General features: G+C 37.4%; 2 protein-coding genes across 4 annotated transcripts in view; one reads left to right on the top strand and one right to left on the bottom strand.

Annotated features, from left to right (window-relative positions):
• The window catches only part of FBLN7 (fibulin 7), a 106,324-nt gene that overhangs the window by 82,335 nt on the left and 7,547 nt on the right, over positions 1–16,442 (top strand). For both annotated transcript variants that reach the window (XR_007069507.1, XR_007069508.1), the window contains exon 8: positions 877–10,166. The gene's annotated coding sequence lies outside the window, so the exon portion shown is untranslated. The remainder of the gene's footprint in view (positions 1–876; positions 10,167–16,442) is intronic.
• The window catches only part of ZC3H8 (zinc finger CCCH-type containing 8), a 43,514-nt gene that overhangs the window by 9,191 nt on the left and 17,881 nt on the right, over positions 1–16,442 (bottom strand). The window contains exons 4-8 of one of the 2 annotated variants that reach the window (XR_001738994.2): positions 15,843–15,976; positions 13,401–13,517; positions 12,541–12,652; positions 11,119–11,228; positions 9,984–10,231 (exon numbers count right to left, since the gene is read on the bottom strand). Coding sequence is in view for 1 of the 2 variants with exons in the window: in NM_032494.3 (NP_115883.2) it covers positions 10,199–10,231; positions 11,119–11,228; positions 12,541–12,652; positions 13,401–13,517; positions 15,843–15,976 (506 nt within the window). In the remaining variant the exon portion in view is untranslated. The remainder of the gene's footprint in view (positions 1–9,983; positions 10,232–11,118; positions 11,229–12,540; positions 12,653–13,400; positions 13,518–15,842; positions 15,977–16,442) is intronic. The other variant, NM_032494.3, reaches the window with a different exon arrangement.

The following is a 16,442-nucleotide window of genomic DNA, read 5'->3' on the forward strand; positions in this document are numbered from 1 at the left end:
CTGAGGCAGGAGAATCACTTGAATCTGGGAGTCAGAGGTTGTGGTGAGCTGAGATCGTGCCATTGCACTTCAGCCTGAGCAAAAAGAGCGAAACTCCATCTCAAAAACAAACAAAAAAGATCCCTTTGTAGGTGACCTGCCTCTTCTCTCCAGCTGCCCTTAACCGTTTTTTCTTTCATTTTGACCTTGGAGAATCTGATGACTATCCGTCATGAGGATGATCTTCTTGTGTAGAATTTTGCAGAGGTTCTCTGTATTTCCTGAACTTGAATGTTGGCCTCTCTAACAAGGTTGGGGAAATTTTCATGGACAATATCCTGAAATATGTTTTCCAAGTTGCTTGGTTTCTCTTCCTCTCTTTCAGGGACGGAAATGAGTCATAGATTTGGTCTCTTTACATAATTTCATATTTCTCAGAGGTTTTGTTCAGTCTTTGATATGGTTTGAATCTGTGTCCCTGCTCAAATCTATGTTGAATTGTAATCCCCAGTGTTGAAGGTGGGGAGGTGACTGGATAATGGGGGCAGATTTCTCATGAATGGTTTAGCACCATCCCCCTTGGTACTGTCCTAGTGATAGTGAGTGAATGCTCATAAGATATGGTTGTTTAAAAGTGTGTAGCTCCTCCCCACTCTCTCTCTCTTGCTGGCCATGCGACATGCTGGCTCCTCATTCACCTTCTGCCATGTCTGTAAGTAAGTTTCCTGAGGCCTCCTCAGAAGCAGATGCCTCCATGCTTCCTGTACAGCCTACCATGAGCTAATTAAACCCCTTTTCTTTATAAATTACCCAGTCTAAGGTATTTCTTTATAGCAATGCATGAACGAACTAATACAGTCTTCTTTATTGTTTTTACTTTATTTTTGTCTGACTGAGGTATTTTGGAGAGCCAGTCTTCCAGCTCTGAGATTCCTTCTTCAGCTTGGTTGATTCTGCTGATAAGACTTGAGACTGCACTGTGAAATTCTTCTAGTGTGTTCTTCAGCTTTATCAGGTCAGTCTGGTTCTTTCTTATAATGGTCATTTGGTCTAACACCTCCTGTATTGTTTTATTGTAATCCTTAGATTTCTTGGATTGGGTTGACTATCTCCTGTATGTCATTGATCTTTGTTCCTATCCATATTCTGAATTCTATTTGTAACATTTCAGCCATTTCAACCTGGTTAATAACCATTGCTAGGGAACTGGTACAGTCATTTGGAGGTAAGAAGGCACTCTGGCTTTTTGAGTTGCCAGAGTTCTTATGCTGGTTCTTTCTCATTTATATCGGCTGATGTTCTTCAATCTTTGAAGTTGCTGTCCTTTGGGTAGATTTTTTGCTTTTTTCTTCTTGATAACCTTGGGGGTTTGATTACAGTATAAGGTGGGATCAGTTGACTGGCTTAGATTCTAGCCTGCTCCTGGGTCTTGGAGGAGCCCTCTCTGATTACTGTCTCTGTGCCCATGTTTCTTTTGTTGAGTGTTCTTGTCCATGGGGCTCTCCCTCAGACAGGAACCTCAGTTGACAGATAGGTTGTATCCTTGCTAGGTCAGCCCTAATCTGTTGTTGTCTGTTTACTTCCTGAGTAAACACGGGGTTGCACCTGCCTGCAGAGTTCAGGTAGAAGTGGGACCACTGGGTTGGAAGCTCTAGCAGGTGTGGCCTGGCCTGTCTGGCTACAAGAGGTGGGGGGAGGGTGGAGTTGCCTGCCCTGCTGTCTGGGTGTTTCCAGGGCAAAAGGAGGCTGTGCCCTAAAAAAAGAAGAAATTCTGACATGGTACAATATGGATGAATCTTGAGGACATTATGCTAAATGAAATAAGCCTGTTGAGAAGGACAAATACTATATGATTTCACTTACATGAGATACCTACATTTGTCAAAATCACAAGGGACAGAAAATAGGATGGTGGTGACAGAAATGTCTGTCAAAAAGGACAAACTGTATGATTTCACTTATATGAGATAAAAAAAGGACATACTGTATGATTTCACTTATATGAGATATCTAAAGTAGTCAAAATCACAAGAGACAGAAAACAGGATGGTAGCTGTCAAGGCCTTGAAGACAAGAGGAAATGGGGAGTTTTTGTTTAATGGATACAGGGTTTTAGTTTTGAGATTAAAAACATGAGCTCTGGTAATATATGTGGTGGTAATGGTTTCAAAACTATATGAATGAACTTAACATTACTTAATTGTACATTTACAAATGGTTAAGATGGTAAATATTAGGTGTATTTTATCACAATAAAAAACTTTTAAAGTATCCATCTATTCCTATTTTCTTTAGTGTTTTTTTAAAATAAGAAATGAGTGTTGACTGCATGTTCTCACTCATAGGTGGGAATTGAACCATAAGAACATTTGGACACAGGGTGGGGAACATCACACACTGGGGCCTGTCGTGGGGTGGGGGAGTGGGGAGGGATAGCATTAGGAGATATACCTAATGTAAATGACGAGTTAACAGGTGCAGCACACCAACATGGCACATGTATACATATGTAACAAACCTGCACGTTGTGCACATGTACCCTAGAACTTAAAGTATAATTTAAAAAAAGAAAAAAAAAGTAAAGAATATTTAAAGAAGGAATAATAAATCTATATGAACAATTGCATGTCAATGTATTAATTTAGATGTAATGGACAAATTTCTAGAAACACACAAACAATCCTCAAGAATAGAATAAAATAAATAAAGCCATTAAAAAAAAGAAATGAGTGTTGAATTTAGCAGAAAGCTTTTTTTAGCATCTACAAAAATCATCATGATATGAAGGACTGCTGTTTTTCCATGATAATTCTTGTATAACCTCTTGACTTTTTAAACTATCTGCATATATTACTTTTATAAGAATATTTAATTTAAAAAACTTTGGGGCTACAAGCAAAATAGTACATTAAGAAAAATGTATAGGTTTAGATGTGCTGAGAAAGAAGAAATGCTAACAATCAATCTTTGGGCAAAATAAGCCCAAACAATGTAAAATGACTGATATAATCTAGAAAATAAATTGATGAAATAGAAAATTAGTATAAAATAGAATTAAAGAAAGCAAAGTTGGTTCTTTCTAGAGAATAATGTAACTACGAAACTGCAGATTAACTGATGAAGAAAAACAGAAGGCACAAATAATCAATATAAGGAATAAAGGCCAGGCACGGCAGCTCACACCCTGTAATCCCAGCACTTTGGGAGGCCAAGGCAGGTGGATCATTTGAGGTCAGGAGTTTGAGACCAGGCTGGCCAAAATGGTGAAACCCCATCTCAACTAAAAATACAAAAATTAGCCAGGGTGGTAGGTGCCTGTAATCCCAGCTACCCAGGAGGCTGAGGCAGGAGAATCGCTTCAGCCTGGGAGGCAGAGGTTGTGGTGAGCTGAGATAGATAATGCCACTGCACTCCAGCTTAGGTGACAGAGTGAGACCCTGTCTCAAAAGGCATTAATATTTTGACATAATATTAATGATATTTGAAAACTTCACATTTATATTTAAAAATTTAGTTTATATCAGGAACGTAAGGGTGGTTTAGTATTTTTAAATGCATAGATATAATCTGTTGCTTTGGCAGAATAAAAAGAAAAACTCTGGTCATGTCAAAAAGAATTCCAAAAAAGTCAACATCTCTTCCTGATTATAAAACAAAGAAACAAAAAGTCCAACAACTCTTATCAAGCTACAATTTGAAGAGAATTTCATTAACTTGACAGAGTTTCTACCAGAAAATTGCAGGACACATTGTATTCAGTGGGGAAAATATTAATAGCAGTCTCTTTAAAACCCAGGACAAAAATACACTATCATTGCTTTATTTCAAATTACATTGCCTCAAAGACTTGAACATAAATGTTCGCTGAAGCTTTATTTATAATACTCAAATGTCCATCAACAGATGAATAAACAAGTATATCCATACAAAAGAACACAATTCAGCAATAAAGAGAAGTGTGCTGCTAATATACATAAAAACAGGAAGCTTGAAAACACCATACTGAGCAAAAGACACAAGAGTGTAGACTATATAATTCTGCTTATATGAAATTCTAGAACAGGCAAAACTAATCGATACTTACTGAAAGAATACCAGTGGATGCCTAAGGTCTGAGAGAAGGAGAAGAATGAATTGTAGTAAAGTGTCACAGGGAACATTCTGGGGTGATGGAATGTCCTATTTATTGATTGTGGTGGTAGCCACATGGTTATACACATGTCAAAACTCATTGAACTGTATACTCTCCATTTATTTAGATCTTCAGTGTCTCTCGGTTTTGTAATTTTCAGTGTACAAGTGTACACCTTTTTAATTTATTCCTGTTTTATTCTGTTTGATGCTACTGAATGAAATTGTTTAAACTTCATTTTGAGACTGTTCACTGGTAGTATGTAGAAAGAGAATTTACTTTTGTGTATTGATCTTGTTTCCTGAGACTTTGCTGAATTTATTAACTCTAGTAGGTTTTATTTTGTATGTGTGCATTAAAAATGGGTGCAATTCATTGACTGTTCTGTATACCTCAAAATAGTTAATTGTTAAAAAAAAAACTAACAAAAATATGCAACCCACTGGGGAAAATAATAAAATGTTATCAAAAGACATTTTGAAAGACTATAGACAACAATTAGCCAGGTGTGGTAGCACACACCTGCAGTCCCAGCTACTTGGGAGGCTTAGGTAGAAGGATTGCTTGAGCCCAGGAGTTCAAGGCTAAAGTGAGCTATGATTGTGCTACTGCACTCCAGCCTAGGCAACAGAGCAAGACCCTATGTCTAAAAAAAGACTACAGTCAACATATTCATAGATTAAAAGCCTCAATGTCACAAAGCTGGCCAGGCACAGTGGCTCATGCCTGTAATCCCAACACTTTGGGAGGCTGAGGCGGGCAGATCACTTGAGGTCAGGAGTTCGAGACCAGCGTGGCCAACATGGTGAAACTTAGTCTCTACTAAAAATACAAAAATTAGCTGGGCATGGTGGTAAGTGCTTGTAGTCCCACCTACTCAGGAGGCTGAGGCAGGAATATCACTTGAACCCAGGAGACGGAAGTTGCAGTGAGCCAAGATCATGCCACTGCACTCCAGCCTGGACAACAGAGTGAGCATGGTGGCTCACGCCTGTAATCCCAGCACTTCGGGAGGCCAAGGCAAGTGGATCACCTGAGGTCAGGAGCTCAAGACCAGCCTGGCCAACACAGTGAAACCCCATCTCTACTAAAAATACAAAAATTAGCCGGGTGTGGTGGCGCACACCTGTAATCCCAGCTACTTGGGAAGCTGAGGCAGGAGAATCGCTTGAACCCAAGAGGTAGAGGTTGCAGTGAGTTGAGATTATGCCACTGCACTCCAGCCTAGGCAACAGAGCAAGACTTCATCTCAAAAAAAAAAGAAAATCTTTTTATGATACAGAATTCAAAAGGATTATAAGACAATACTATAAACAAATTTACGCCAACAAAGTAGACAACTTAGATGAAATAGCAAAATTAATGGAAAGATACAAATTACCAAAGCTGTTTTTTTTTTAAAAAAGAAAAATCTGAATAAACTTATAACAAGGACAGAAATTGAATCTGTTATGTAAAATCTAATTAAAAAAAAGCGGCTGGGCGCGGTAGCTCACGCCTGTAATCCCAGCACTTTGGGAGGCTGAGGCGGGCAGATCATGAGGTCAGGAGATCAAGACCATCCTGGCTAACACGGTGAAACCCCGTCTCTACTAAAAATACAAAAAAATTAGCCAGGTGAGGTGGCGGGTGCCTGTAGTCCCAGCTACTCAGGAAGCTGAGGCAGGAGAATGGTGTGAACCCGGGAGGTGGAGTTTGCAGTGAGCCAAGATTGTGCCACTGCACTCCAGCCTGGGCAACAGAGCCAAGACTCCATCTCAAAAAAAAAAAAAAAAGCTCAGGCCCAGTTGTCTTACTGGTGAATTAAAGGAGAAATAATAACAAATTTTCATGAATTCTTCCAGAAAATAGGGGAAGCTGGAACACCTTTCAACTCATTCTAGGAGGCCAGTATTACCTTGATACGAAAGCCAGAAAAAGACATCACAAGAAAAGAAAGCTACACATGAATATCCCTCATAAACATGAAAAAGATGTAAAAATCCTTAATAAAATATTAGCCAATGAAATCCAATAATAAATTATATACAACATGACCAAGTGGGTTTTACCTCAAGAATGTAAAACAAATTATTTTACAACTAATATATCATGTGAATAAAATAAGAGGAAAAATTATATGGTCATCTCAACAGATGCACAGAAATCATTTGATAAAACCCAAGATTCATCCATGATAAAAGTACTCAAAAAACTAGAAATAGGAGAGAACCTCCTTCAACTAGAGTATCTATAAAAACCTACAGCTAAAATCATATGTATTGGTGAAAGACTGAATGCTTCTGCCAAATATCAGGACAAAGGCAACATTATCTGCTCTCACTTCTATTTAACCTTGTATAGAAGGTTTCAGCCAGTGAAATCAGGCACAAAAGAAATAAAAAGCATTAGAAAGGTTAGAAAGGAAGAGGCAGCTGGGCGCGGTGGCTCACGCCTGTAATCCCAGCACTTTGGGAGGCCGAGGCAGGCGGATCGCCTGAGGTCAGGAGTTTGAGACCAGCCTGGCCAACATGGTGAAACCCCATCTCTACTAAAAACACAAAAATTAGCCGGGCGTGGTGGCAGATGCCTGCAATCCCAGGTACTCGGGAGGCTGAGGCAGGAGAATCACCTGAACCCGCAAGGCCGCGGTTGCAGTGAACCGAGATCGCGCCATTTGCACTCCAGCCTGGGGGAGAAGAGCAAGACTTTGTCTCAAAAAACAAAGGAAGACATAACATAATCCTACATATACAAATTCCTAAGGAATACATGCACACACAAAATAAAACCTACTAGAGCTAATAAATGAATTCGAAGTCTTGGGAAACAAGATCAATAACAGAAATAAATTCTATTTCTACATACTACCAATGAACAACTAAAAATAAAGTTTAAATTACAATTCCATTCAATAGCATCAAACAGAATATGTACGAATAAATTAACAAAAAAGTGTACACTGTACACTTGTACAGTGAAAATTACAAAACTGAGAGAAACTGAAGATCTAAATAAATGGAGAGACATTCCATGCTCACAGATCAGAATTCTATGTGCAATTTTCCACAGATGCAATGCAATCCCTATCAAAATCTCAGCATGGGTTTTTTGCAGAATGTACAAGCTGATCTTAAAACTTATATGGAAAAGCAAAAGATCCAGAGTAGCCAAAACAATCTTTGAAAAGTAGAACAAAGCTAGACAGCTTACGCTTCCTTATTTCAAAACTTAGAACAAAGCTATAGTAATCAAGACACTGTGATAGTGTATAAGGACACACATATAGAGGTCAATGGAACACAACTAAGTACAGAAATAAATCCATACATTTATAGTCAGCTGATTTTTGACAAAGGCATGAAGGCAAGTCAGGGGGAAGGGGCAGTCTTTTTTTAAAATGGTGCTGGTGGCCAGGCACAGTGGCTCACCTTTGTAATCCCAGAATTTGGGAGGCCAAGGTGGGCAGATCACCTGAGGTCAGGAGTTCAAGACCAACCTGGCCAACATAGTGAAAGCCTGTCTCTACTAAAAATAACAAAAATTAGGAGGCATGGTGGTACACACCTACAGTTCCAGCTACTCGGGATGCTGAGGCATGAGAATCACTTGAACCTGGGAGGCAGAGGTTGCAGTGAGCCGAGACTGCACCACTGCACTCCAGTCTGGCAACAGAGTGAGACTCTGTCTCAAAAAAAAAAAAAAAAGTGCTGGGACAATTGGACATCTACATGTAAAAAAAAGTTTTGCCCTTAACTCACACAATTCCTAAAAATTAACTCAAAATGAATCATAGACATAAACACAAGAGCTAAAACTAGAAAATTTTTAGAAGAAAACATAAGAGCACATCTTGTGACTTTGTGTTAGGCAATAAATTCTTAGATACAACACGGAAAGCATGATCCATAGAAGAGAAAACTGATAAACTGTACGACATCAAAATGAAAACTTTGATGCTTCAAAAGATACCATTAATAAAATAAGACAAGCCACAGATTGGGATATTTGCAAATCATGTATCTAATAAAGGATCTGTATCCAACATACGTAAAGAACTCCTAAAACTCAATAAGAAAACAATCTAATTTTAAAATGGGCAGAGATCTAAACTGACTAATGGCCAATAAGCACATGAAAAGATGTTCATAGTCATTTGAGAAATGAAAATTACAACTACAGTGAGATACAGCATCACTCCTACTGGAAAAGCTATAATCAAAATGACTGACAGTAACAAGTGTTGCTACGGTAATTAAGATAGTATATACTGGAGAAAAAGACAAATGGAGAAGAACTGACATCCCAGAAACAGACCTTCAGATCTTCACTTGATGGAAACTTGACATATACCAAAAGGGGTATTACAGGTTAGTGGGGGAAAGAGCAGTCTTTTTAATTAAATAATGCTTGGGAGATTGGTTATCCATGTGGGAAAAAGGGAACAACAACAACAAAAATAAGAATGATATGAGGCCTCTATCTGATACCATTTTAAAAAAGTCTATTAGTATTATTTTTTCTTTTCTCCCTAGAGTTACAGTTATACTCTTTTTTCATTCATTCTACCAGTTCCTCCCACATGTAAAGTACAAAAGGTGGAGTACAGTTTCCTTCTCCTTGACTTTGGGCTTGGCCATATGACTTACTTTAGCCAATGGGTTATAAGTAAATGTGCTGTAAACAGGGCTTTGCCCTCTTGAGTTTCTGCCAACACCATGAGAAGAACATGCCCTAGCTAGCCCACTGGTCCCAGGAGAGTTAGATAAGTATGGGCAGAACTGACCCAGCAGATCTGCCATATGAAACAGTGCCAACCCAACCAAGGCCAGATGAGATCAGCCAACTCCCAGCCAATCTATATATGCATAAAAAATAAGCACTTTGTGTTATTCACTACTGAGAACCTTGTAGTTGTTTTTGCTAAGCACCATTACTGTACCAACTGTTAATACAATTCCCAATGGATTAAAATATAAACGTATACAGCAAAGCTCCAAAACTTAAAAAAAAAGTTAAATTACTTTACAGCCTCATGACAGGGAATAATTTCTTAAATGAGACACAAAACACAAAAGTAGGCATAAACAAAAAGATTCCCAAAATAAGTAATTCTACTCACTGAGATGCCGCAAAAAAAAAAAACAAAAAACGAAAAGACCGTCCACAAAATGGGAGAAGGCCTGCCACACATACCTCACAAAGAATTATATAAGGAATATATAGAAATCAATGTATAAAGGACAATCAGACCAATAAAAACATGGGCAAAGACATTAACAGGCATTTCACCAAAGATGAAACTCAAAAACCAGTAAGCATAAGAAAAGATGCTGCACTTCATGCAAATTAAGTTACGAGATTCTATTTTTACATCCACTAAATTGGTTGAAATTAAAGTATTGACAATATAAAGTACTGGCAAGTGTAGAATGACAGTTCTTCTACACAGTTTGTAGGAGTATAAACTGGTATAACTACTTGAGAAAAAAACTGATATTATATTAAATTTTATGATGATATGATTCTACTCCTTGGCACATACTGTGGATAACTTGTGCACATTCATGCCAAGAAGTATGTATATGGATATTTACAAGAGTTAGTATTTTTAAAAATTGAAAATAACCTAAATATTCATTAATAGTAGAATGACCAAATAACTAATATAAACATAAAGTGAAATGTTATATAGGAGTAAAAATGAATGACAGCTGCATGCATCTACACGAATGAATAATGTTGGGTGAAAATAGCCACGTCATCAATTAATACAGAGAGTATGATACAGTCTGATAAAATCCAAACATAAGCAAAACTAAATATATTGTTTTGTGAATTATACGTATTTGGTAAATCTACAAAGAAACACAAGAGGAGAATAAAAATATACCTGATAGACAAGCCCACACAAGGAAGCAGGCTGATGTAGATCCATATAGGTATGTAAATATATCAAATATTTTATAATTCTTTTTTAGTGGCGGAGGAAGAAGAAAAATACTTCTATTTGAGAACCCTATTGAGGTTGCATGCCAACTTCTGGAGATGTTCAGACAAGAAAAAAAGAAATGTGGTAAATTCTAATTTTACCTTTTTATGTCTATTTTATTTACATGACTTCTTTTCAGTATCCAAAACCTAATATAAAAAAAAAATCACATAATCATTTTTATGCATTCATGTGTAATTCAGGTATACTGTCATATTCATAACTTTCAAATGATTCCAATCAAATTCATCCTAATAATCATCTAATATTATTTACTACTACTACAGGAACTGAAAAACTTATTTCATATATATCACTTTTCCATATCTATTTCACACAAATAAACAACTAAATATTTGGTACAACTTCTAATTCCACATTAACCATTCATATTTTACAACCTAAAAATATCTATAAACAAGCACCTTTGACTTTGTAATATTTACATATGCTCAAGGGAACATTTTGCCAGAAGATCGTATGGTTGGCTTCAAAAGAATCTTTTAAATTTTCATGTATACTTAGATTAAATTTTTAAGAGACTAGCTCCAACTAACATGAGAAATGAAAGAATACAAATGACTGTAACTTTTCAATAACCTTTTCTCACAGACTGAAAGAATATCTGAAGAAAACATTTTGAAATTACTACTTAACTATTATTTGATGTAATTCTAAAATGTTTATAAACCCGTAACTTGTAACTTTCCTTCCAAGAATCTTTATAACAGGAGTACTATTTTTCTTATTTGATTTGCTTTGTTTAGCTTAGCTTAGCTATTAAAATGGCTAATTATACTGAAGATTTTACATCTTTCCAACTTAAATCAGCAATGAATATACATCTTCCTTTCAGCTACAAGGAAACATATACAAATGAAAAATATTTAAACTGAATTCTTAAGTTATTAGTCCTAATATATCCCATATGCTAACCTAAGAGGCACTCTCCTTAATTATCTTCAAATTCTCATCCTTAGTTCAAACATATTCCTTAAAAAAGAAAAAACAAAAGATTATTAAAAATTATACTTACTTTAGCCAACAATTCTTGTGTTTCAGGAGTCAGTGGAGCATGAGAAAACTTGCAGTATTCTCCCTGATAACATTTTGTTCCTGTATGGTAAAACTTACAAGGATATTCATGTAACCCAAGTGTTAAGGAAGAGAACAATTTTAATCCAATTGAAATAATGTTATTAACTTAATGACTTTATTTTTCCTAAATAAAGACCTCTGTGGCCGGGCGAGGTGGCTCATGCCTGTAGGAGGCGGAGGTGGGCAGATCACTTGAGGCCAGGAGTTCAAGACCAACCTAGCCAACATGGCGAAACCTCGCCTTTACTAAAAATCCAAAAAAATTAGCTGGGCATGGTGGCGCAGGCATGCCTGTAATCCCAGCTACTCAGGAGGCTGAGGCACCAAAATCATTTGAACCTGGGAGGCGGAGGTTGCAGCGAACCAAGATTGTCCACTGCACTCCAGCCTGGGCAACAGAGCAAGATAATGTCTCAAAAAAAAAAAAAAAAAAAAGACCTTTCCTACTAGCAGAAACTGGATTTCTCTATTTAAAGTATGAGATAATAAACTAACTGGAATACATTTAAAAATCTAATTTTAGAAGGACTACATACGTAAATCAAGTTTCTTGGCTATGACAGGACATTTTTTTCCTTCATATCCATTCTTATAATAGAGTACAGGCATGTTTCATATATGAAAGGGGTATATATTTTAAATACCTTGATAAATGTGATCATTTTTAAAGCATTCCTTTGGGGGTGGAGGAATCAAAGTCAACAACGACATATCTTACAAATCTGGATCCTTTGTACATTAGACTTGTTTACAACAGAATAAATTTATATAACTTCAATATTTTCTAGGAAAACAATCCTCAAATTACAATTTGATACTCCTTATATTGAATGCCTGAAGAAAAAAATTTTTTTGTGATGACTAAAGGTGCTATTAACCTAAAATGTTTATGTTCCATGTTTTTACAACTTGTCTGTGCCATTTGCACTGAAGAGCTAAGGCTATTCTGCAAATTAAGGGATGATTAATTTCTACACAGTACAGAATACACAGAAAACAGGTACTCCCAAATTATGTAATCCTTGCCTTTTTATGAAGTAGCTTATTTGAATATAGATTCAATTAATCAGTGTCACAGTAGAAATTGTGATAAGTCTTTCTGGGATTTGAAGAGGTCTCATGGACCCTCTATACCACCCAGGTTGAGCAGAAAGAATCATCATTTGAGAGATTTTCTAAAGAATCCCTCTTTTCTTGCTTATGAAAAAATCCACGTACAATTTAATCACTTTGATACTAAGTTGGGCTTGGATAATATCATTTTGGTATACCTAAAACACTGGTTTCATTAAAAATTTTGCACATTTAAAATGTTCATGTAAATATTTATAAAGTCACCATATCTTGTGATAAAGGATATTATGCAAATACAGACAGTTTTCACCTCTGGTACAATATCCTTGTACATAAAACTTACACATTTCCTTTTTCTTTTCTATCTCTGCATCATGATCAAATTTACACTGGTCTCCCTAGGCCAAAAGAAGGAGCAAGGAAAAGCCATTATTTCTCATAGTCAAGTCATTATGATTTAATTCCTACTAAACTTTAAATAAGCAAATGATTCCAGAAAGAACCAAAGTCTTAGAGGTAGCACATTCTAACTGTTAATAAATTATAACCACATCACATATATCTGCTTAAAATCTTCTTAAGTCCCAAACATTTTTAAACATAAAGCATTTTTTAAAATTATCAGTCGCTCACGCCTGTAATCCCAGCACTTTGGAGGCCGAGGTGCGCGGATCATGAGGTCAGGAGATCGAGACCATCCTGGCTAACACGGTGAAACCTCGTCCCTACTAACAATACAAAAAAAATTAGCTGGGTGTGGTGGCTAGCGTCTGTAGTCCCAGCTACTTGGGAGGCTGAGGCAGGAGAATGGCATGAACCCAGGAGGCGGAGCTTGCAGTGAGCCGAGAATGCGCCACTGCACTCCAGCCCAGGCGACACAGTGAGACACCATCTCAAAAAAAATAAATAAATACATAAATAAAAATTATCTGACTCAGGTGATCCACCCACGTCGGCCTCCCAAACTGCTGGGATTACAGGCCTGGCTACTTTTTTAAACATAAAAGAATACTTCACTAAAATTTTCTAACTGATTTTTTTCCAGAATGAAACAGCTTTAAAAACCTAAAGGTATGAATTAAAAGAGTATCAAACAGAAAGAGCAGTTTTACATTTTAGTAGATTTTTGCTTACACATTTTTATACCTTAATACATTTCCTTTCAAGAAAATATTTACAAATTTGTTTTCCCTTGCGTTCCACTGTATGTTGGTTGATGAATGCCTGACTCAAATGCTGCTGCTTCTCTTTAGGTTTACCATCCTTTAAAAACAAAAACAAAAAAACTAAATGTAAGAAACAGAAAATTAAATATTTTATTCTGTTGCACAAAATTATTTAAACCAACTTCAGAGCCTTAAAGGTGACTCTTCTAAATTGGCCTTCATATGTAAAATTTGGATTTCTGTACACCAGGTTAAAAATGAATGTTTTGTCAGTTTCAACAGCATTCCATCATTGAATATTAATGTTTGTATTGATTTGAATATTTTATGATACATTGCCTTTATTTTGTAAAAATGAATGAAAAAAATTTTTTAAATGGGCCAGACACAGTGGCTCACGCCTGTAATCCCAGCACTTTGGGAGGCTGAGGCGGGTGGACCACTTGAGGTCAGGAGTTCAAGACCAGCCTGGCCAACACAGTGAAACCTCATCTCTACTAAAATACAAAAATTAGCTGGGAGTGGTGGTGTGCGCCTGTAAGCCCAGCTACTCTAGAGGCTGAGGCAGGAGAATCGCTTGAACCCAGGAGGCAGAGGTTGCAGTGAGCCAAGATTGCACCACTGTACTCCAGCCTGGGCAATAGAACGAGACTCCATCTCAGGGAGAAAAAAAAAAAAATTAAATGAAAGTGATAGTATTTATGATTAAAAACCGAAGTCTAAGAACGAAGATCTTTAGAGTGGTAGAGACAAAGTTGGAAATCAGAGTGAACCAAAAGCAGTGGAATCTATAGTTTCAATGAGATGCTCACTGGGTGTGAGTTGAGCACACTTATCAGCTCAAATTAACACACGCAACTAGAAATACACCGTCAAAGATGGTGATAAAGGTATAAAAGGAGATTTTTACATTAAAAAAAGGAAGAAAATCTTATAATACATTTAAGCTCTTCAGAAACATAAGGTACTTTTTACATGTTAACTTATGCTACAGATTACAGCTTCTGTATACCAAATTTTTGCATACAGTTTTAGGAATACAGTATGTACAAACAAGGGAGCTGACTGTACAGTCATTTATAATAATGTCAAATTTCCACTTAGCACCATCAAATTTATGTCTTATAAATATCTGCCAGTTTAAATCTTGTTTTATTTGGTAACATTATTAAATTCTATATATATGTTTAGAATTTGTTCCTTGTGTAGAAGGGCTGTCAGCTTTGGCTGAATAATCATTTGAGCCATGTAAATCAAATCAAAGAGAATATTGACAGGGGGTTGAGAAACAAAATCCTAGTCCTGGCTTGGCCCTGTGTGACTATGGGTAATTACCTGAACCACAGGGCTTCAGATTCCTCATTCATAAAATATGGAGGCAGGGGACAGACTGTATATAAATGTTTTTCAATCTAGAATATTTGGCATTTCTAATATTTTACCACCCCTTACCCTTGTCCCATATGACCAAGCCTAATAAAAAAAGTTGCCATCCAGTTAAAAGCCCTCAGAAAAGTGGAATCCAGAAGAGGTACTTATTATTCTACCCTGCTTACATCTACAGACCAAGGAAAGGGAACTTCTAAAAACCAAAATCAAAATACAGGAAGGTGGGGAGTGGGGAGATTCAGTAAGGCCAATGCTCAGAAATATTGATTTTTAATTTCCAGAGGGAGCCAGGATGAGGGACTTTAGTAGTAAAAAATTTGTAAGACTCAGTGGCCTTTGAAATGCCTCATGACTATTTGATCTTCTCTGGGCTTCCCATTTTTCCCGAGTCATTGATAGTATAACACTAAAAAAAAAAAAAAAAAAAATCAAGGAGTGACCAGGCACAGTGGCTCATGCCTGTAATCCCAGCACTTAGGGAGGTGGTGGGTGGTGGGAGCCGAGGCAGGTGGATCACCTGAGGTCAGGAGTTCAAGACCATCCTGGCCAACATGGCGAAACCCTGTCTCTACTAAAAATACAAAAATTAGCCGGGCATGGTGGCGGGCGCCTGTAGTCCCAGCTACTCAGGAGGCTGAGGCAGAAGAATCACTTGAACCCGAGAGGCGGAGCTTGCAGTGAGCCGAGATCGCACCAGCCTGGGTTACAAGGCGAGACTCTGTCTCAAAAAAATATATGTATAACAATAATAAAAAAAATCAAGGAGCTTGTGTGCATATATTCAGGAACAACAGTGAGAACGCTAAGGCTTAAAAGTGGTGCTGGCAGCTAATCAGTGAGAAAAAGAAAGCTGCAATAAGAAGGAAGAACACAGAGAACCCAGTGACAGTAAAAGGACATCTTCATCCGAAAACCGATTCTGTGGGATGCTTCCACCTCTCCATATCACATAGCACTTCTTGTCACTGAAGTATAAGATCAAGTCCAAAAGCATGCAGGGGTCAGGTATTCCTAGAAGCATATATTCCAATACCTCTTCCTGTGAGCCGCTGTTCCTCAGCAAAGCATTTGATCCTTTGTTTCCAGGGCCAGGCCATTTTCGCTTCATTTTCTTCTGTTTGCCATTCTTGTGACCAGCTTTAAGATTTTTATTTTTTTGTTTAGCAGCTAAAAACAAAAAATTAATTTAAAAAATGACATAAAGTTACAATAGCAGTTTACTTTTAAGAAGTACGGGGCCAGGTGCAGTGGCTCATGTCTGTAATCCCAGCTCTTTGGGAGGCTGAGGCAGGAGGACTGCTCAAAGCTAGGAGTTCAAGGCCAGCCTAAGTGTTCAAGGCCAGCCTAGGCAGCCTAGAGATCTTGTCTCTACAAAAACATAGCTGGGTGTGGTGGTGCACGCCTGTAGTCCAGCTACTCTGGGACTATAGGCTAAGGCAGGAGGATTGCTTGAGCCAAGGTGTTCAAGGTTACAGTGAGCTATGACTGCACTGCTGCACTCCAGCCTGGGCAACAGAGTGAGAACCTGTCGCAAAACAAATGGAAAAAAGAAGTATGATTTACAATAATTGAGGAAAGTTCTCTAAGGCTCAATAAGTGAAAACTGGCATGATAGTGATCAGTTTTCCTAGAA

The sequence above is a fragment of the Homo sapiens genome, chromosome 2 (genome assembly GCF_000001405.40).
Source record: "Homo sapiens chromosome 2, GRCh38.p14 Primary Assembly".
Taxonomy (NCBI): Eukaryota; Metazoa; Chordata; class Mammalia; order Primates; family Hominidae; genus Homo; species Homo sapiens.